Here is a 23,461-nt window from a genome sequence, read left to right as displayed (position 1 = left end):
TGATAGACTGGATTAAGAAAATGTGGCACATATATACCATGGAATATACTATGCAGCCATAAAAAATGATGAGTTCATGTCCTTTGTAGGGACATGGATGAAATTGGAAACCATTATTCTCAGTAAACTATCGCAAGGACGAAAAACCAAACATCTCATGTTCTCACTCATAGGTGGGAATTGAACAATGAGAACACATGGACACAGGAAGGGGAACATCACACTCTGGGGACTGTTGTGGGGTGGGGGGAGGGGGGAGGGATAGAATTAGGAGATATACCTAATGCTAAATGATGAGTTAATGGGTGCAGCACAGCAGCATGGCACATGTATACATATGTAACTAACCTGCACATTGTGCACATGTACCCTAAAACTTAAAGTATAATAATAATAAAATAAAATAAAAAATTTAAAAAAAAGGTCTGCATGGTAACATTCAAGTGAGTTGTCAGCTGCTCTTCAGCTCATGAGAAGAAGTTGCTTTCCACTACTTAACTCCCACCTTCTCCTGATTTTATGAGTCTACTTCTTCAAAGCCAGCATAGCCCGATTGCTCATCTTTTAAAATTTTTTTCCTGAATAGCAATTGCCAGATTTTCTGTGGTGTGGTTTTTTTTTAAGTGACTGCATATTTGAAATTTTAGAAATCCTATAGAAACTTTCAAGAACTATAGCTTTCTGAGAGGTGTTATCAGAAGACACAGGTAAATGAAGGTATTCGAAGGAATGATGAATAAGATGACATTTAATAAGATGACATTTGTCCTTAGCAGATTCTAGAGAATGAGCAGAAAAGAGGCAGCTGCTCAGGAACCCAACCCCAAAGAGCAGCCTGTCACAGAAGGTGGAGAGTGATGGGACAACCTGGAGGTCAAAGGGCTTCCTGTGGTTATTCTGGGGACAGACATCTGTCTGAGGCAGCTCTTTAATCTGGGCTTGCTGACCCACATGGCATTTTATGCCTCTCTAGTATGGCCACCCAAACTGAGCTTTTCTGAGTGCCAGAGAACAGAGTGCTCCCCTTGAAGATTCATCACTATCTTATGCTAATCAGAATTTAAAAAAAACAAGGAAAGAAAGGAAAAAAAGTAAAACAAAAAAAAGTTCTGAAAAAATATATTGTCAGACATTGTGGCTCATGCCTATAGTCCTAGTTACTCTAGAGGCTGAAGTGGGAGGATGGCTTGAGCTCAGGAGTTCTAGGCTTCAGAGAGCTATGATTGTGCCACTGCACTCCAGCTGGGCTGACAGTGTGAGACCCTGTTTCTAAAAGAAAAAAATTTTATTAACTTGAATAGGTAGCATTCTTTATTTAATCATTAATGAATCATGATTTTGTATAACTTCATAGTGGCCTGAAGGCAGTATTTCTCTGGCTAAACAGTGTTTGATTATGCAAAATAAACAGAAAAATAAATTCACTGTAAAGTTCTAGGTGTCAGTAATAAGAAAGGCTGCGATTTCTTTTTACAGATTGAGATAATGAAAATAGTATTATAAAAATATATTGTACTTTTCTTCCTGCATTCAAAGCACAGAAAGAGATTGCTTGTCAGTTAGGACTTAGCCCACGAGTGCTCAGGACCAAGCATATATATGGAGTGAGATAGAAATACTCTTTATATGATGGATGTGAGATCCAAGTGAATAATTAGAGGGAGGCATAATTTATTTGTCTTTTTGTCTAATATTAATATTATAGAACTTTGGGATACAAGTTGGAGGAAATGTATCTTTCTGCTTGATTTGATGATATAGAGAGGTTGAGCCAGTAATTATTTATGTAAACTCCCACCTATTAGAGTGAACAAACCTGAAATTCACAAGGATCATGTATCTAGGTCAATATCTCCAGATCTGGAATTCCACTCTATCATTTAAGTCTGCTAGTATTTTTTTTTCCTAAAGAGTTGCTGTGTTTTCCAAGATTTTCAAGTGGTTTTTCAAATCCTCCCAAACTGGATTGCTTAGATTATGCCATTTCATGCCATATGAGCCATTTCAGAAATAAGCAATCTGCCAATCCATAATAAGACTACTTTTTTAAGAACAGGAGTTACAATTTAAGTAAGAGAAAGTCATGAATATACAGGATCAATAGTGTCTCAAGTGCCAAAAATGTCAATCGGTCAATCTTATCTGAGAGCTTTTTTGCATTAGCAAGGTACACAGTCCCGCTGGGGCCTGACGTCATTTTCTAAATCTGCCTCTTTACTTTCCTGAATAACTTTAATTCTACACAAGTGTATCTGAAATGAAAAGTGTAACTGTATCCGTATTTACTAATGTTAAGAATAATTTTTATTAGACATTCACATTATGCTTTACATTCTTCCTCAGCCCCTCTTTAATCACCTTCTTTATCCTGGATGATGATCACTGTGGACTCTGTAATTTTAGCACCTTCTGAAAGCTTCAGACCACTACAAATGCTTTAAATATTGACCATTTCTAATCCCTGAATCAAGCCAAAAAAGGTTGTATTTCCTTTTCTTCAAAGCCCTTCTCTTCTCAAATTATTTTGCGTTAGGATGTGAAAAGTTTGCCTGTGCTATTCTTTACAAATAATATTTGCATTTTAACTCTTGCCTATAACGACTTAATTTAGGGTTCTTCAAGCTGGTTCTGGTCTAAGAACATGCTTCCCACAAATTCTGAGAGTACTAAGGAGAATTTAAAACTTCTGATCATTTGATTATTATCTTTGGATGATATCTTTAAAAATAATGCAGGCATATTCTGGATCTTCTAGATGACCATGGGGTAACTAAATGTTTCCTATAATTGTATTCCTAGAGTATGTGTTTACAATTTCATTGGTGCCAAGTGCCAATTTCATTGGTACAATCTCTGGTTAATAAGAAAGGAACAGATGTGAACTTAATGATAAATAATGATTTTGCACTAAGTGATGTCCAAATGTCAGCACTGTCTGCCAAAAACTAGGACAGAAAAGTACGGTGGAAGGATTCAGATATCTAGGCCCATGGGCAGCAATGTAATTTCAGCAAAACAACATCAGTAGTCATATTAAATCAGTTATTAATTTTAATATTACTGGCCTTGTATCTTCGTTTTATTTTTAAATTTGTTTTGATATGAGTTACAAGAACAAGAAGTCTATAACTGATTTTACATTGTATATATTTAAATAACATTTTAATAATAATTTTAGTCAACTGAATAGCTTGTGATTGTTGAGTTGATTTGTTTGATTTCAGCTGTGGTTTCCTCAAATTTAAGGGACACTAGTTTAAAGGAAAGAAAGATAATTATATAGAAATCTACAATTCATCAGAGAGTTTGTCCTTCTGGTAATTTGCAAATCACTCAATACCAGTAGTTTTCATCCCAATAATTGGTTTTGGAAATGGAAAATAGGTAAGTAGTCAGTCAATGTTTCTGGGCACAGCAGATTAAGTGAGGAGGGAAATGTTGATCTATCCACTTTTAAAATATCTATATGACAATATTCTCTAAAGGAGAATCTCATCATTTACAAACAATGAAATATTAGAGAGAGAAACTTTTAAGCAATATAACGTATTTCTGCTTATCTAAGCAAGTTCTTTGTAGAGTCATGATGATATTTCAGATTTTTACTTTACAGACTAACATGCATTAAGCTGTCCTCCACTGTAGTCTGAATTAGGTGTAAAAGGCGAACATTATTATTTCACCATTTGTTTGCCCTCCAAGGTGGCCTATTACCTGTTAGATAAAGCACAGTTTTTATTTATTTATTTATTATTATTTTTTTTTTAGCGGGGTCTATAAAGCACTCACCATCCACTTTTGTCCATCACTCCGGCCTCAATTTTCATACTCCAGCCATACTGTCCTTCTTACAACCTCTGAGCCTCACTAGGCTTCTCTCAATTTGGTGCCTTCACAGTGCCTTTCTTTTTGCTGGGCACCTTCTTCTCCTCATTGGTCCCCATGTAATACCCAGGCTTTTTTCTTTTCAGGTAGTCTCATATCCATTGTTCCCTCTGAGAAACTTCTCCTGATTCCTAGACTGCTGCTGCCAAGCCCACTCCATTTTCAAAGCATCTTAAATCTTCCCTATCATAGGACTTATCACACTTGATTATAATTTGTTCTTTAGTCATCTGTATTTCTTGTTAACCAAGAATAATAACTTTTATAAGCCCCTTGTAGGAGATATGTGCATGAAATAGCCACACTCCCTATTCTAACAATTTTACCTTAGGACATAATTAGAAATGCAGAGTTATGTACAACTAGGTTTAGTGAATTTTTAGTATCTTATTGAAACATAACATGGATATATATAAAACTGTGCAAGTCATAAGTGTAAAACTTAATGAATTTTCACACACTGCAATTACCACCCAGATTAGGAAAAACCATCTCCCTAGAAGTCCCTTCACGCTCCCTATCACTCACTACCCTCACCTGCCTTTCCAAATATAAACAATATCCTGATGAAATAGACCAATTTTTCCTGTTCTTGTACTTTTTTTTGATATATAATAGTTGTACATATTTTGGGGGTATGTGTAATATTTTGATACGTGCTCAAATGTGTAATGATCAAACCATGGCAATTACTGTCCTTGAACTTTTTAAAAAGTAATCTTACAGCATGTATTATTTTGTGTTTGGCTTCTCCATCCTATTTATGTGTGTAAGATACATTCCTGTTGAATGTAGCAATAGGCTCTACATATTCATTGTCGTATAATATTTTATTACATGAAAGTTACCTGTGACGGTTAAGTTTATGTGCCAGTTTGACAGGGTTAAGGGATACCCAGATAGCTGCCAAAACATTATTTCTGGGTATGCCATTGAGGATGTTTACTGAAGAGATTAGCATTTAAGTGAGTAGACTGAGTAAAGAAGATGGTCCTCACCAATGTGGCTGGGCATCATCCAATCTGTTGAAGGCCTAAGTAGAACAAAGAGGTAGAGGAAGGGTGAATTTACTCTCTCTGTTGGAGCTGGGACATCCATCACTTCCTGCCCTGACATCAGCACTTCTTGTTCTCAGGCTTTGTACTTGAACTGGAACTATACCACCACATTTCCTGGGCCTTTAGCTTGCAGATAGGAAATGGGGGGACTTCATAATCATGTGAGCCAGTCTCTCATAATAAATCTCTGTCTATCTATCTGTCTTTCATCTATCTATTTTCTATCCTATTCATTCTGTTTCTCTGGAGAACCTGACTAATACAATACCATATGGTATTATCTAAGCTATTATTGATGGGCATTTAGGTCAATTTTAAATTTGAGCTATTAGGAACAATGCTAGCATGAACATTCTTATACTTGGTGCACATATGCACACATTTTTCTATCATATATACCCATAAGTGAAATCACTTGCTCATAAGATATGTGCATTAGGCCACATTCATACTGCTAAGAAGAAATACCTGAGACTGTGTAATTTATAAAGAAAAGGAGGTTTAATGGACTCACAGTTCCACATGGCTGGGGAGGCCTCACAATCATGGTGGAAGGCAAAGGAGGAGCAAAGGCACATCTTACAGGGCAGCAGGCAAGAGAGCACGTGCAGGCGAAATGTCCTTCATAAATCCATCAGACCTTGTGAGACTTATTCGCTATCATGAGAACATCAAGGGAAAAAAACAGCCATATGATTCAATTACCTCCCACTGGTTGTCTCCCACAACATGTGGGGATTATGGAAGCTCCAATTCAAGATAAGATTTGGGGGGAGGAGCCAAGATGGCCGAATAGGAACAGCTCCGGTCTACATCTCCCAGCGTGAGCGACGCAGAAGACGGGTGATTTCTCCATTTCCATCTGAGGTAGCGGGTTCATCTCACTAGGGAGTGCCAGACAGTGGGTGCAGGTCAGTGGGTGCGTGCACCGTGAGCGAGCCCAAGCAGAATGAGGCATTGCCTCACTCGGGAAGCACAAGGGGTCAGGGAGTTCCCTTTCCTAGTCAAAGAAAGGGGTGACAGATGGCACCTGGAAAATCGGGTCACTCCCACCCAAATACTGCGCTATTCCGACGGGCTTAAAAAACCACACACCAGGAGATTACATCCCGCACCTGGCTCGGAGGGTCCTATGCCCAAGGAATCTCGCTGATTCCTAGCACAGCAGTCTGAGATCAAACTGCAAGGCGGCAGCGAGTCTGGGGGAGGGGCGCCCGCCATTGCCCAGGCTTGCTTAGGTAAACAAAGCAGCCGGGAAGTGCGAGCTGGGTGGAGCCCACCACAGCTCAAGGAGGCCTGCCTGCCTCTGTAGGCTCCACCTCTGGGGGCAGGGCACAGACAAACAAAAAGACAGCAGTTACCTCTGCAGACTTAAATGTCCCTGTCTGACAGCTTTGAAGAGAGCAGTGGTTCTCCCAGCATGCAACTGGAGATCTGAGAACGGGCAGACTGCCTCCTCAAGTGGGTCCCTGACCCCTGACCCCTGAGCAGCCTAACTGGGAGGCACCCCCCAGCAGGGGCAGACTGACACCTCACAGGGCCCAGTACTCCAACAGACCTGCAGCTGAGGGTCCTGTCTGTTAGAAGGAAAACTAACAAACAGAAAGGACATCCACACCAAAAACCCATCTGTACATCACCATCATCAAAGACCAAAAGTAGATAAAACCACAAAGATGGGGAAAAAACAGAGCAGAAAAACTGGAAACTCTAAAAAGCAGAGCACCTCTCCTCCTCCAAAGGAACGCAGTTCCTCACCAGCAACGGAACAAAGCTGGACGGAGGATGACTTTGACGAACTGAGAGAAGAAGGCTTCAGATGATCAAATTACTCCAAGCTACGGGAGGACATTCAAACCAAAGGCAAAGAAGTTGAAAGCTTTGAAAAAAATTTAGAAGAATATATAACTAGAATAACCAATACAGAGAAGTGCTTAAAGGAGCTGATGGAGCTGAAAACCAAGGCTCGAGAACTACGTGAAGAATGCAGAAGCCTCAGGAGCCGGTGCGATCAACTGGAAGAAAGGGTATCAGCAATGGAAGATGAAATGAATGAAATGAAGCAAGAAGGGAAGTTTAGAGAAAAAAGAATAAAAAGAAATGAGCAAAGCCTCCAAGAAATATGGGACTATGTGAAAAGACCAAATCTACGTCTGATTGATGTACCTGAAAGTGACGGGGAGAATGGAACCAAGTTGGAAAACACTCTGCAGGATATTATCCAGGAGAACTTCCCCAATCTAGAAAGGCAGGCCAACATTCAGATTCAGGAAATACAGAGAACGCCACAAAGATACTCCTCAAGAAGAGCAACTCCAAGACACATAATTGTCAGATTCACCAAAGTTGAAATGAAGGAAAAATGTTAAGGGCAGCCAGAGAGAAAGGTCGGGTTACACTCAAAGGGAAGCCCATCAGACTAACAGTGGATCTTTCGGCAGAAACTCTACAAGCCAGATGAGAGTGGGGGGCAATATTCAACATTCTCAAAGAAAAGAATTTTCAACCCAGAATTCCATATCCAGCCAAACTAAGCTTCATAAGTGAAGGAGAAATAAAATACTTTACAGACAAGCAAATGCTGAGAGATTTTGTCACCACCAGGCCTGCCCTAAAAGAGCTCCTGAAGGAAGTGCTAAAACATGGAAAGGAACAACTGGTACCAGCCGCTGTAAAATCATGCCAAACTGTAAAGACCATAGAGACTAGGAAGAAACTGCATCAACTAACGAGCAAAATAACCAGCTAACATCATAACGACAGGATCAAATTCACACATAACAATATTAACTTTAAATGTAAATGGACTAAATGCTCCAATTAAAAGACACACACTGGCAAATTGGATAAAGAGTCAAGACCCATCAGTGTGCTGTATTCAGGAAACCCATCTCACGTGCAGAGACACACATAGGCTCAAAATAAAAAGATGGAGGAAGATCTACCAAGCAAATGGAAAACAAAAAAAGGCAGGGGTTGCAATCCTAGTCTCTGATAAAACAGACTTTAAACCAACAAAGATCAAAAGAGACAAAGAAGGCCATTACATAATGGTAAAGGGATCAATTCAACAAGAAGAGCTAACTATCCTAAATATATATGCACCCAATACAGGAGCACCAAGATTCATAAAGCAAGTCCTGAGTGACATACAAAAAGACTTAGACTCCCACACAATAATAATAGGAGACTTTAACACCCCACTGTCAACATTAGACAGATCAACGAGACAGAAAGTTAACAAGGATACCCAGGAATTGACCTCAGCTCTGCACCAAGCAGACGTAATAGACATCTACAGAACTCTCCACCCCAAATCAACAGAATATTCATTTTTTTCAGCACCACACCACACCTATTCCAAAATTGACCACATTTTGAGGAAGAAAAGCTGTCCTCAGCAAATGTAAAAAAAACAGAAATTATAACAAACTATCTCTCAGAACACAGTGCAATCAAACTAGAACTCAGGATTAAGAATCTCACTCAAAACCACTCAACTACACGGAAACTGAACAACCTGCTCCTGAATGACTACTGGGTACATAACAAAATGAAGGCAGAAATAAAGATGTTCTTTGAAACCAACGAGAACAAAGACACAACATACCAGAATCTCTGGGACACATTCAAAGCAGTGTGTAGAGGGAAATTTATAGCACTAAATGCCCACGAGAGAAAGCAGGAAAGATCTAAAATTAACACCCTAACATCACAATTAAAAGAACTAGAAAAGCAAGAGCAAACACATACAAAAGCTAGCAGAAGGCAAGAAATAACTAAAATCAGAGTAGAACTGAAGGAAATAGAGACACAAAAAACCCTTCAAAAAATTAATGAACCCAGGAGCTGGTTTTTTGAAAGGATCAACAAAATTGATAGACCGCTAGCAAGACTAATAAAGAAGAAAAGAGAGAAGAATCAAATAGACGCAATAAAAAATGATAAAGGGGATATCACCACCAATCCCACAGAAATACAAACTACCATCAGAGAATACTACAAACACCTCTATGCAAATAAACTAGAAAATCTAGAAGAAATGGATAAATTCCTTGACACATACACTCTCCCAAGACTAAACCAGGAAGAAGTTGACTCTCTGAATAGACCAATAACAGGCTCTGAAATTGTGGCAATAATCAATAGCTTACCAACCAAAAAGAGTCCAGGACCAGATGGATTCACAGCCGAATTCTACCAGAGGTACAAGGAGGAGCTGGTACCATTCCTTCTGAAACTATTCCAATCAATAGAAAAAGAGGGAATCCTCCCTAATTCATTTTATGAGGCCAGCATCATCCTGATACCAAAGCCGGGCAGAGACACAAACAAAAAAGATAATTTTAGACCAGTATCCTTGATGAACATTGATGCAAAAATCCTCAATAAAATACTGGCAAACCGAATCCAGCAGCACATCAAAAAGCTTATCCACCATGATCAAGTGGGCTTCATCCCTGGGATGCAAGGCTGGTTCAATATATGCAAATCAATAAATGTAATCCAGCATATAAACAGAACCAAAGACAAAAACCACATGATTATCTCAATAGATGCAGAAAAGGCCTTTGACAAAATTCAACAACCCTTCATGCTAAAAACTCTCAATAAATTAGGTATTGATGGGACGTATCTCAAAATAATAAGAGCTATCTATGACAAACCCACAGCCAATATCATACTGAATGGGCAAAAACTGGAAGCATTCCATTTCAAAACTGGCACAAGACAGAGTTGCCCTCTCTCACCACTCCTATTCAACATAGTGTTGGAAGTTCTGGCCAGGGCAATTAGGCAGGAGAAGGAAATAAAGGGTATTCAATTAGAAAAAGAGGAAGTCAAATTGTCGCTGTTTGCAGACAACATGATTGCATATCTAGAAAACTCCACTGTCTCAGCCCAAAATCTCCTTAAGCTGATAAGCAACTTCAGCAAAGTCTCAGGATACAAAATCAATGTACAAAAATCACAAGCATTCTTATACACCAACAACAGACAAACAGAGAGCCAAATCATGAGTGAACTCCCATTCACAATTGCTTCAAAGAGAATAAAATACCTAGGAATCCAACTTACTAGGGATGTGAAGGACCTCTTCAAGGAGAACTACAAACCACTGCTCAAGGAAATAAAAGAGGATAAAAAGAAATGGAAGAATATTCCATGCTCATGGGTAGGAAGAATCAATATCGTGAAAATGGCCATACTGCCCAAGGTAATTTACAGATTCAATGCCATCCCCATCAAGCTACCAATGACTTTCTTCACAGAATTGGAAAAAAACTACTTTAAAGTTCATATGGAACCAAAAAAGAGCCCGCATCGCCAAGTCAATCCTAAGCCAAAAGAACAAAGCCGGAGGCATCACACTACCTGACTTCAAACTATACTACAAGGCTACAGTAACCAAAACAGCATGGTACTGGTACCAAAACAGACATATAGATCAATGGAACAGAATGGAGCCCTCAAAAATAATGTCACATATCTACAACTATCTGATCTTTGACAAACCTGAGAAAAACAAGCAATGGGGAAAGGATTCCCTATTTAATAAATGGTGCTGAGAAAAGTGGCTAGCCATAGGTAGAAAGCTGAAACTGGATCCCTTCCTTACACCTTATACAAAAATCAATTCAAGATGGATTAAAGACTTACATGTTAGACCTAAAACCATAAAAACCCTAGAAGAAAACCTAGGCATTACCATTCAGGACATAGGCATGGGCAAGGACTTCATGTCTAAAACACCAAAAGCAATGTCAACAAAAGCCAAAATTGACAAATGGGATCTAATCAAACTAAAGAGCTTCTGCACAGCAAAAGAAACTACCATCAGAGTGAACAGGCAACTTACAAAATGGGAGAAAATTTTCACAACCTACTCATCCGACAAAGGGCTAATATCCAGAATCTACAATGAACTCAAACAAATTTACGAGAAAAAAACAACCCCATCAAAAAGTGGGCAAAGGACATGAACAGACGTTTCTCAAAAGAAGACATTTATGCAGCCAAAAAACACATGAAAAAATGCTCACCATCACTGGCCATCAGAGATATGCAAATCAAAACCACAATGAGATACCATCTCACACCAGTTAGAATGGCAATCATTAAAAAGTCAGGAAAGGACAGGTGCTGGAGAGGATGTGGAGAAATAGGAACACTTTTACACTGTTGGTGGGACTGTAAACTAGTTCAACCATTGTGGAAGTCAGTGTGGTGATTCCTCAGGGATCTAGAACTAGAAATACCATTTGACCCAGCCATCCCATTACTGGGTATATACCAAAAGGACTATAAATCACGCTGCTTTAAAGACACATGCACATGTATGTTTATTGCGGCATTATTCACAATAGCAAAGACTTGGAACCAACCCACATGCCCAACAATGATAGACTGGATTAAGAAAATGTGGCACATATACACCATGGAATACTATGCAGCCATAAAAAAGGATGAGTTCATGTCCTTTGTAGGGACATGGATGAAATTGGAAATCATCATTCTCAGTAAACTATCGCAAGGACAAAAAACCAAACACCGCATGTTCTCACTCATAGGTGGGAATTGAACAATGAGAACACATGGACACAGGAAGGGGAACATCACACTCTGGGGACTGTTGTGGGGTGGGGGGAGGGGGGAGGGATAGCATTGGGAGATATACCTAATGCTAGATGAGGAGTTAGTGGGTGCAGCACACCAGCATGGCACAGGTATACATATGTAACTAACCTGCACATTGTGCACATGTACCCTAAAACTTATAATAATAATAAATAAATAAATAAATAAATAAATAAATAAATAAATAAATAAAAAAGATTTGGATGCTGACACAGCCAAACCATATTATTTTGCCCCTAGCCCTCCCAAATCTGATGTTCTCACATTTCAAAACAAATTTTGCCTTTCCAACAGTTCCTCAAAGTCTTAACTCATTTCAGCATTAACTGAAAAGTCCGCAGTCCAAAGTCCCACCTGAGACAAGGAAAGTCCCTTCCACCTATGAGCTTGTAAAAACAAAAGCAAGTTAGTTACTTCCTAGATACAATGAAGGCCCAAGCGTTGGGTAAATACACCCATTTCAAATGGGAGACATTGGCCAAAAAAAGGGGCTACAGGCCCCACACAAGTCCAAAATCCAGCAGGGCAGTCAAAACTTAAAGCTCCAAAATGATCTCCTTTGACTCTGTGTCTCACATCCGGGTCAGGCTGATGTAAGAGGTGGGTTCCCATGATCTTTGGGACCATGTGGCTTTGCAGGGTATAGCCCCCTTCTGGCTGCTTTCCCAGGCTGGCATTGTGTGTCTGTGGCTTTTCCAGGCACATGTTGCAAGCTGCCAGTGGATATACCATTCTCGGGTCTGGAGGATGGTGGTCCTCTTCTCACAGATCCACTAGGCAGTGCCCTAGTAGAGACCCACTGTGGGGACTCCCACCCCAGATTTCCCTTCTGCACTGCCCCAGCAAAGGTTCTCCATGAGGGTTTTGACCCTGCAGCACACTTCTGCCTGGACATCCACGTGTTTCCCTACATCCTCTGAACTCCAGGCAGAGGTTCCCAAACCTCAATTCTTGACTTCTGTGTACACGCAGGCCCAACACCATGTGAAAACCACCAAGACTTGGGCCTTGCACCCTCTGAAGCAGTGGCCTGAACTGTACATTGACCCTTTTTAGCCATGCTGGGATGTAGGGCACCAAGTCCTGAGGCTACACAGAGCAGCAAAGCTGTGGGCTGAGCCCACGAAATCATTTTTTCCTCCTAGGCCTACCAGCTTTTGATGGAACGGGCTGCCATGAAGACCTCTGACATGGACTGGAGACATTTTCTCCATTGTCTTGCAATTAACATTTGGCTCCTTGATACATATGCAATTTTCTGCAGTCAGCTTGAATTTTTGCTCAGAAGATGCATTTTTCTTTTCTATTGCATTGTCAAGCTGCAAATTTTCCAAACTTTTATGCTTTGCTTTCCTTTTAAATATAAGTTTCAATTCCAAACCATACCTTTGTGAACACATAAAACTGAATGTTTTCAACAGCAACCAAGTCACCTCTTGAATGCTTTGCTGCTTAGACATTTCTTCCACCAGATACCCTAAATCATGTCTCTCAAGTTCAAAGTTCCACAGCGTTCTAGGGCAGGGACAAATGCTACCAGTCTTTTTGCTAAAATATAGCAACAGTCACCTTTATTCCAGATCCCAACAAATTCCACATATCCATCTGAGACCACCTCAGCCTGGCCTTCATTGTCCATATCGCTATCAGCATTTTGGTCAAAGCTATTCATCAAGTCTCTAGGAAGTTCCAAACTTTCCCACACTTTCCTGTCTTTTTCTGAGCCCTCCAAACTGTTCCAGCCTCTGCCTGTTACCCAGTTTCAAAGTCACTTCTACATTTTTGGATATCCTTATAGTACCCCTCTCTACTGGTACCAATTTAGTGTATTAGTCCATTTTCACACTGCTATGAAGAAATACCTGAGACTGGGTAATTTATAAAGTAAAAGGGGTTTAATCAACTCACAGTTCCACATGGCTGGGGAGGCTTCACAATCATGGCAGAAGGTGAAGGAGGAGCAAAGGCATGTCTTACATGGTGGCAGGCAAGAGACTATGTGCAGGGGAACTGCCCTTTATAAAACCATCAGATCACATGAGACCCATTCACTATCAGGAGAGTAGCACAGGAAAAACCTGTCCCTGAGATTCAATTACCTACCACTGGGTCCCTCCCATGACATATAGGCTTTATGGGAACTACAGTTCAAGATGTGATTTGGGTGGGGGCACAGCCAAACCATATCAGTATGTGTATGTTTAAGATTTCTATAGAATGTTAAAATGTTTTGTTATGACCAGATGATTCACAAAAGAAAAATATATAAGTAATAATTATACAAAGAGGCGGTCAGAACATTTAGTAATCAGAGAAATGTAAATTAAAACACTTTACACACGACCAGATTGGGTAAATTTTGTATCTATATAATATCAAGCTTGGATGAGAAAATGGAAATCCTCAAGTGTTGAAAGAAGTGAAAATTGGAGTCACCTTTTTCAAACTTAATTTTTCTCATTGCTGTATCCTCAACATGGAGAGGAGAAGTACGCTGTTGAATGAATGAATATGCATGATAAATAGTATATTATACACATGTACAATAATCTAGTAATTCTATTACTGAATGGTAGCCAGAAAAATTCCCATAGAGTTACATGAAGAAGCATGCAAAATGTTTACTGTAAAATTATCTCCAGTGGGGAGATTATAAGACAGAATGGGAACAAAGTGATAAAGTGTACCAAAATTAACCAGGGGAATAAACTAGAAATACATATAGATATATCAGAAAAAGTAATGTTAACCAAAAGAGCTATGAAGCAGAATAGAATATGCAGCAAAATATAATTTATATAAATAAAACCAAATATATGAATCCTATTTATTGTTCATGTAATAGCATATAAATAAAATAAAGAAGATTAATTGAAAGGACAAACATTGAATACATGACAGTGAAAGCATGGTGTGATGTGGGATTGGAGATAAAATAGAGAAATACATAATAAAATACATAAATAAATACATAAAAATAAATAATAAATGAGACATTGTGCATAGGGCGTTAGTGTGTGCCACAAATTTTAGAGTATTATTGCTTATGTTAATATGATCTAGCATGCCTATGGTGCAAACATTTAGAAATGAAATGTTGCAGAAACAATACTCAGAAGAGGAGGTCCTGGATATGTCCTGGGTGTACAACTATAGATACATTTCTTCCTCTCTAGTGATCACCCTTCAATGAGCCTTTTCTCCACCTGCAATTTTTTACAGACTTAAACCTGTAAACATAGCATTGTCAAAAGCCGATTGTTATTTTAGTAAAGAGTTCTCGCGATATTAGAATATGTGAAATAAGCACATTATCAATCAAGTAACATAAAAATATTTCTAGAAAATATGCTAAAACACTGAAAATCTAAAACCTCTGTTTTTTATTCAACAATCCATTCATTGTATATGTGTTGAGTCCTTATTTCATGCATGGGCTTGTACTAATGTGTGAAGATGTAAAGAAATAGTGAAACAGTTGAGTTAAATATAACTCTTTGAGCTGTTGCCTTTATGATAGCTATAAAGGTAAAAACTATTTCCCTGGACAGCCATGCTCATCTCAGCTCCCACTGGGATCCCAGACAGCCAAACTGGAGTCTTGCATCTTCAGTAAACCAATTACTTTTCAACATCCTAACCTAAATATAACTTTCATCTTCTTTACCCTAAATTTAGTCAAAGAAGCTGCAAGTGTTCATAAGAACTGATAAGTACCATATTTCTATTCCACACATTTTTAAAATATGTTAACATCTCTTAAAATAGGATGCATCTTAAAATTAATGGTATCTTTCAATTGCACTTAGCCAGGAGACAACTATGGCAGAGTTGTTACTGCTTACACATAAGTCACCTTATCATAACTTTTTATATTATCATTACTTCAGTTGAGTTGGAAATATTTTGGAGATAACACAGGAGTTTGAATGCTTTTTAAGTGTCTTATAATTCAGCACTGAAATTAAATAATAGCATACAGAAATACATGAAAATAGAGTAGCTGGGCATATAGGGTTACCTTTGTTATTTCTATTGGTCAAATTGGACAACTTCATTTTTTTAAATTTTTGTCAACAAGTCACTTAAGAGTCTTAATCATATGCCAATTGTGTAGTTATCTATTACTATATAATAAATTACTCCAAAATGTAGTGGCTTAACACAACAAATAATTATTATCTCACATAGTTCCTGAAGGTCATAAACCTGGGAGCAGATATTTGGGTGGTTCTAGCTCAAGGTCTTTCATTACATTGCAGTTAGGCTTTCAGCCTAGATTGTATTCATCTGAAGGCTTGACTGAGGCTGATATGCTTGCAAGATGGCTCACTCACAGGGATGCTGGCAGGAGGTATCAGTTTCTCACTATATGAGTATCTCCACAGGGCTGACTGAATTCCCTCAGAACATAACAACTGGCTTCTCAAAGAGACATTGATCTAAGAGAGAGAGAGAGAGAATGATTAAAATGGAGACCACACTGGCTTTTAATGACCTAGCTTCCAAAGTCCTTCACTGTCACTTCTGCTTTATCCCATTCTCTAGAGGTGATTCATTAAATTCAGCACACCCTCAAGGGGACCAGAATTACATTCCACCTCTTGAAGAGAAGAGTTTATGAACATGTTTTTTTCAATGGCCACAATAACTTTCTGTTGATGTCTCATAAGATTAAGAAAACACTGGCAGAATGGGCATCAGAAGCTTGAAAGAAATATTGGAGCATCCTTTAAGTAATGATGTAGACACCAATACCACCAAAATATGACATTTTGTAACAAAATACAAACATCAACTACTCAGAGTTTAGGAATGATTTATGAGAGTCTTATTCTAAATGTGGAGAATTTGTAGGACTATGTTAGCACAATTTTTGTATAGTTTCTTCATTGTCTATGCATAACAAACCATAAAAACATATTTCCAAATAAGTAGCTGTTTCAATAAGAATAACAATTCTACATGATAAACAAGCATTGTGTTATAGTTTAATTATAAATTTTTTTCTTTTTTAATAGTAAAATTGATGGCCTCTTAGATCCAGTGGAATTTGGTAAGTATCTGTGGTACATTACATCATTTAGCTCCAATTCTTCAACACTCCCTATATCCACACACTTTGCTGTACCTTTAAAGTGCCCACCCACATATGTGGGTGACCTGCCTTGCCTCTTGGCTCTGGGTTTATAATATGACTCGATCTTGTCAATAGGATGTTAACAGACATAAGGCAAGCAAAAGCTTGAGAGAGTAGCTACATGTTTCCACTCGCTTTCTTGCACCTCTGTCAGCCGTGAGAACGTGCTAGGTCTAGCCTGATGGAGAATGGGAGAAAAGTGAAGCGGAGCCAAGTTATCCTAAAGGCCCCATCTAAGGGCAGCTTTGAACAGCTGACAGTCAGCTGACTCCCGAACATGTGAGGGAGTTCAGTTCAGATAAGCAAAGCCACGTATCTGACCTACTGCTGTCCAAATGTGTGAGCAATTTTTTTATTGTTATATGCCACTGAGGTTTTGTGGATAACGAATATAGTTCACTTAAAATAGTGCATGTGTTTGCAGCACTTTAATGTGACACGTCTCTTCCCTGTAATTAATTGAAGTGCCTGAGTAATGTGGATAAGCTTTTCTAATGAAGTTTCAAAGTCCCTTGGATATTCATGTCATTCTTAGAAATAATAAAAGCAGTGTAGATGGGACTGATTGACAATGGTTTTCCTTCACCTTTCATCACCAGGAATAGTGCACATTTAAAATGTGGTAAAAGGAGGGTCTTCGTGCTGACAGCCACCTGATATTTCTTCTGGGGGAACCATCTTTCTCCACTCCATCTAGTCATGGTGGGAATTAATTTCTTTTCCTTCCTTCCTTCCTTCCTTCCTTCCTTCCTTCCTTCCTTCCTTCCTTCATTCCTTCCTTCCTTTCTTCCTTCCTTCTCTTTCTCTCTTTCTTCCTTTGTCTTTCTTTTTCTTTTCTCTCTTTTCTCTCTTTCTTTCTTTTTTGAGACAGAGTCTCACTCTGTCACCCAGGCTGGACTGCAGTGGTGGCACGATGTCGGCTCACTGCAACCTCTGCCCTCGGGGTTCAAGCAATTCTTCTGCCTCAGCCTCCTGAGTATCTGGAATTACAGGCACACACCACCACACCAGCTGATTTTTTTGTATTTCTAGTAGTGGTGGGGTTTCACCATGTTGGGCAGGCTGGTCTTAAACTCCTGACCTCAGGTGATCCACCCTCCTCGGCCTCCCAAAGTGCTGGGATTACAGACATGAGCCACCACTCCTGGCTGGTGGGTATTTCTATTACAATGTTTGTGCCACCTTTTGACTACTCAGAAGGGTGGACAGGATATCCAAAATGGCAAATAACATATACCAAATTCCTGGGGATAATCTGAGTCTTCACTGAGATTTTCTATGTATGCTGAGTCAGAATGAGAGAGGCTCTAATACTTTTGGGCCATTGATCAGGAGGATGTAGGTTTGGAACTGTCAGCACCCCGGATTCCTCCCACAAAAAGATAGCCTGCCAGAGATGCTGAATCCACTGATGAAGAGAAACCCTGAGAACATTACTAAAGACCTTATATCTATTCCATCTTAGAGACTACATTATTTGAGCCAATAGACTCTCTTTTTTTTTTTTATTAAAGCTATTGGAGTTGAGTGTCTGTCATTTGCAACTAAAAGAATTCTGAACAACGGAGAAGTATTATCCCTATTTTACAGAAGAGGAAACTGAACCTCAGAAGGTTACATTTCTTCTCCAAGATCTTACAGGTAATAACAGGTAGCATTAAAATATTATCACAGATCTGTCCAATGGTCATGATCTTTTCAAAATTTCATTTTTTAAAAAGTTGTTTTAATGTACATACTGTAAATCTCACCCTTTTGATGGGCAATTTTGTGAGTTTTGACAAATGCATAGATTTGAGTCACCACAACCAGTTCTACTGCCCCTAAGAGTTCCCTCATGCTGCTTCTGCGCAGTCAGACCCTCCACCTCCTCTCAACTCCTTGCAACCACGAGCATTCTGACTGTTCCAGAATGTTCTATAAATGGCATCACGCAGCATTTTGAATCTGGCTTCTTTTCAATTAGCATAATGCATTTGAGTTTCATCCATATTGTTGTAAATTATCAACATAAATGCTTTCTGAAAAGATGCTTAGAGCAGCATTTCAGTCATATCCACATTAGTGTGAGTGATGCATATCAGGTTTTAAAAAGAGGAAATGAGAACTACTAGGTTGAGACAAAATATATGTCCACTCAGTACCTGTGAATGTGACCTTATTTAGAAATAGGGTCTTTGCATATGTAATTAAATTGAGGTCATGCTGGATATTAAGGTGGTCCATAATCCAGTGACTGGTGTCCTGATAAAAGAGAGAAATGCGGACACCAAGACACACAGGGAATATGCCGTATGACAAGAGGTAGAGATTAGAGTGTTGCAGCTGCAAGCCAAGGAATACCAAGCACTGCCTGCAACCATGAAAAGCTACGAAAGAGGGGTGTGGAACAGATTCTCCCTCAGAGTCTCCAGAAGGCAGGCTGACACCTTCATTTTAGACTTACAGCTCCAAGAACTGTGAGAAAATAAGTTATGTTGTAAACCCCTTGGTTTGTGCTAATTTTTACTGCAGTTCTGGGAAACAAATGCAAGAAAAGATTAAGATATTTGACTTTGCTTTCAAGGCAGCATGTGTCAAAGAAAATGATCCTGAATGAAAAAGGATTAACTTCACGGTTGTGCTTTAAGATGCGCCTGACTGAATTCTAGAGCAAAATTAGTAATGACATTGTAGGAACTGATATAATTACCCCAGGTAGCAGACTTATTTCTAGTAATGGAAAAGTGAAACTTGGTTTTAAAATAGGATGAGCAATGGTGAAACCTATAAACTAGTTTACAAGTCAATTCATTCAAAGTCATCATGTGTCTATTCTGAAGTTTGAGGGAGGCTTTCATCATTTTTTTTTATTAGCAACCTCCAGAAGATGATAGACTCAGGAAATTAAGTATTAAAATGTAATTCATTTTCCAAGTATCATGAAGGAAAAAGAAAAAGTCCACATTCCTTTAGAGAAGAAATCTTCTGAGGTGCATTTTTGTCTGCAGTCTGGATACAAACAAGGTAGGGGATATTTTTGCCAGACAAAAAGTGTATTGTATTTTGATATTAAGATGTAGAACAAAAGATAAGAATAATTATAAACAAATCAGCATTTTAAGCAAGCAAAGTTTATGGATTCTTTTTTTTTCTGAAGAGATATTAAGTTATGTAGACAGGCTATTGAAATATATTCTTCTTTCAGTTGACACTATCAGTTAATCTAGCCTGCAGTGATCATGAAAACCTCAAACCCAACTCCCTGTAAGATAGTACTGAACATTCCCTCCAAAATATAGCTCACTCCCCAGATTCTTATTTGGTAAATCTGGACTGGGGTCCAGGGAATTCATTTTAATTTTTCTAATTCTCCAGGTGATCGTGATGGGCAACCAGGTTTGAGAATCATTAACATGGAACACACTCTCGCAGAAAGAAGCTTTGATCTCCCAAAGCCTGGAGAATCTGAGCTGGGGTCAGTTGAAGGTCAAATACCAAATACAAAATATTAGAAGGGAAGTAATCTAATACTTAAGGTCTAGAAACAGAGACAACGTCCAAAAAGGAAAACCAGAATCCAGGGTGAAGCAAGCTTCATGAAACAGGAAGGGAGATGAGAATTCCAATGCGAAACCACGATCAGAACACAGGAGAAAATGGGAAGGCAGGACACAGGCAGCCGTGGGATGCAGTTTTCTGGGCCCAGCCTGTCTCAGGACTCAGAAGCTTTACCTGTAGCAGACTCCTCCTATAGATTCATGCCATTATGCAGATACCTCTATTCCAGACTCGCTCATTCAGGGTTACAAAGTCTCATTTTCTTAGCATCTAGCAGCTGGCTTTAGTGTTTCACTTTACATTGAATGATATTCACTGACATCTTTATGGGTTGAAGTTATTTACCAGGTGAACTTATTTCAATGTAATAATGACTCTGTGTGTGTTTCTATGTGTGTACTTTTTGTAGTACTTCAAATACTGAACTGTTGCTTAACCAGAATATTTATTCCCTGCTATCGAACTTGTAATGAAAACCTTCTAAAAAATTTAAACTTGAGGTAAATTGAAAGGACAGTTGTTCTTTCTTGGGTAACATAAGACATTTATTACTTTATACTAATTTTTTCATTCATAAAAAGGACAAAGCACAGTCCTATACTACTCCATTGAAAAAATGATAAAAAATAACTAAAAAATCAATTCAATATTTATCAGTATCAAATAAAACTACTATCACCTTTCCTGAAATACAAAGAAACAACAGATGTATCTATACCTATATAAAGTTTAATTCAGAATCTTGCGTCTTAAAGCAGATGATTATTAGTTAGCTTGACAACAGTTTAAAACTGATGGTCCCAGTTAAATCTGTACAACTGTATGAGAAAATGAAAAGCTTGAGTTATCAGTGTACGAGAGATTTTAAACTACTTTATCTCTGTCAGAAATTCAAAACTAAACAACCTCCAAAGTCTGTTTTCCTCTTACCTTTCAGAACCATTTCATGCAAAATCTAACCAGTTTTGCTCGTTATTATCATATATTAGAAAATAAAAGGCAAGCATGCATTTGGCAAAAGATTTAGTTGTTGATTATATAAAAATGCCCAACATGGGTCACATTGCAAAAGTAAAACCCCAAAGTGTAACAATGAAAACACAAACATTTGTACAGAAGGTATACAGGGTATTCGTTTCCCTAAAGTATGAAGACATTTTGTTTCTTTTTCAAATACTTAAATATTTTATGAAATCTGGCAATGATCTTAAGACTGTTGACATACTTCCACTGGGAAATCATCCATTTCACTTATTTTTAAAAGTTTCATTTTATACCAGAGTTAAATGTAAACTAATGAAATATTTATTGATATTTTCATAATGAAGACTCTAAACATTTACACATCGATATATAGTACAAAAATTATACAAATTAAAGAAAGGGGGTAAAGTCGGTAAAGTAGTAATAGATCTATTTTGCTTCCTGTAAATATTTTTTACGAACCTATACGGTGTCCTTTCTAAAAAGATAAACTCTAATTAGCTAGCAAGTTTGTGCTAATAAAATAGGATTATACCTCTTGAAGCATCCAACACTGCACTATTTCACAAGCCAGCTAATTCTTTATTACTCGATTTCTTTTACATCCACACTCAAACACATTTCCATGCACACCATGGAGAATGAAGAAATGTGCATCTTCCTTTTCACAACTTATAAAAACCCAAAGCACCAACACTTGGGAGACACCATCGGAAAGACATATTATTTGCCTCCTCCTGGCCTTCCAGTTTTGCATACTCTTCAAAGTACCATTAGCAGTATATTGATTTGGTATTTTTAGCCAGTTTTCAGTATTGCATTGAAGTGGGAAATGAGCTTAAAACTAATTATTATTATTATTATTATTGTTATTTTTACAAAATGGAATACGGTAGCTTTTTCAACCTACAGGTGACTTTTTGATCTGACATCTGCAATAAAGAAACGTAATACTTAGGAATGAAGCAGAAAAACCAACATACTAGTAATTGTGATATTCACTTAACTGTCACTTATTCCTAACCATGTAAAGACTGTCACATCTCAATAAAAAAGGAAGCACTCTACTTTTCAAAATTTGTCACTCCACATATGAACAAATATAGCAATATTATGATACTCTAGATAAGAGCTGTGATTTTTGAGATTTGAAATTGATAAGAAAAGCATAAAATAACTTCAGAGTAGAATATAAAAGTAAAAAAAAATCTATATGGTATGTTAACTTTACTATTAAAAAACTGATTCTGAAAATCAAATATTTAGAAAATTATTTCCTTTGAAAATAAGAATACTGATAGTAAGTTCTAGAATTTGGTTTTCAATAGTCAAAATCTTTCAACTCATGATTTGATAATGGGATTTCTGACAAAATATTTGTTACACTCTATTGTCTTTTCAAGAAAACTCAAGATGTCATGAATGATAGGGGCCATTCAATAATATGCAGTACCCAAAACAGTGAGGAAAGTACAAGAGACTGTATTACTCTTACATTTACCACATACAACCAACATTTCAATCTCTATTATATTTCACAACTTGTTATTAAATTTAAAGCACCTGTATATGGTGATTTGACTTTCACTCTACAGCCTATAGTATTGAATTGAACACTGTAACTTGTCCCATTGGGTTAAATCATGCAACTGTCACAGAATCAGGTTAAGTGGTTTATAAGGCATATTGGAACGAGTTAAAAATCATTTATATCCATTTAAAAGTTTATTCTTTTGGATGAAGGGGTTCCCGAATGCCTCAGTCATCATGTGTGTTGTAAATCAGTTGAATAGTTTGTTAAAGTATAATTTATTTGGCTTAGGATGGAGCCGCAGAAATTGGAAGGAATTGTGGTCATCCCAGGGTTGAAGGGTGTCTTCTGAGCTGGGATGGGAACAGCAGCTGTCACAACACATTCAGAATTCCAAGTAGACAAGGATGCCAAAGGCAGGCAGCAGTAAGCCGAGAAGACTTGGGGATAGGGTGGGTGCACCTGCAAGGTAAACCAAAAGTGTGCATATTATTTCATTGATACATGTCACTATTGCTCATTTAGTCTGCTTCAGCTAAGGCGAGATTGCATAGCCCTGGAAAACAAATGGGTCCTTTCACAAAACAGAATCTCTTATTCTTACATGATTTAAGAAAAACAAAAGCTTTTGATCAAAGATTTTCTGTGTGAGACCATGTGAACTGTTTACACAACATGATTAAT

General features: G+C 38.1%; 1 protein-coding gene across 6 annotated transcripts in view; it reads right to left on the bottom strand.

Annotated features, from left to right (window-relative positions):
- CNTN1 (contactin 1) overlaps positions 20,783-23,461 on the bottom strand; it is a 379,977-nt gene continuing 377,298 nt past the window's right edge. For 5 of the 6 annotated variants that reach the window (XM_011537926.4, NM_001843.4, XM_005268651.3 and 2 more), the window contains one exon: positions 20,783-23,239. In XM_011537926.4, coding sequence (XP_011536228.1) covers positions 23,163-23,239 — 77 coding nt within the window. In that variant the 3' untranslated portion in view covers positions 20,783-23,162. The remainder of the gene's footprint in view (positions 23,240-23,461) is intronic. The other variant, NM_175038.2, reaches the window with a different exon arrangement.

This window comes from Homo sapiens, chromosome 12 (genome assembly GCF_000001405.40).
Source record: "Homo sapiens chromosome 12, GRCh38.p14 Primary Assembly".
NCBI lineage: Eukaryota > Metazoa > Chordata > Mammalia > Primates > Hominidae > Homo > Homo sapiens.
Note: the sequence above shows the minus strand (reverse complement) of the source record. Positions and strands in the feature narration are given on the sequence as shown.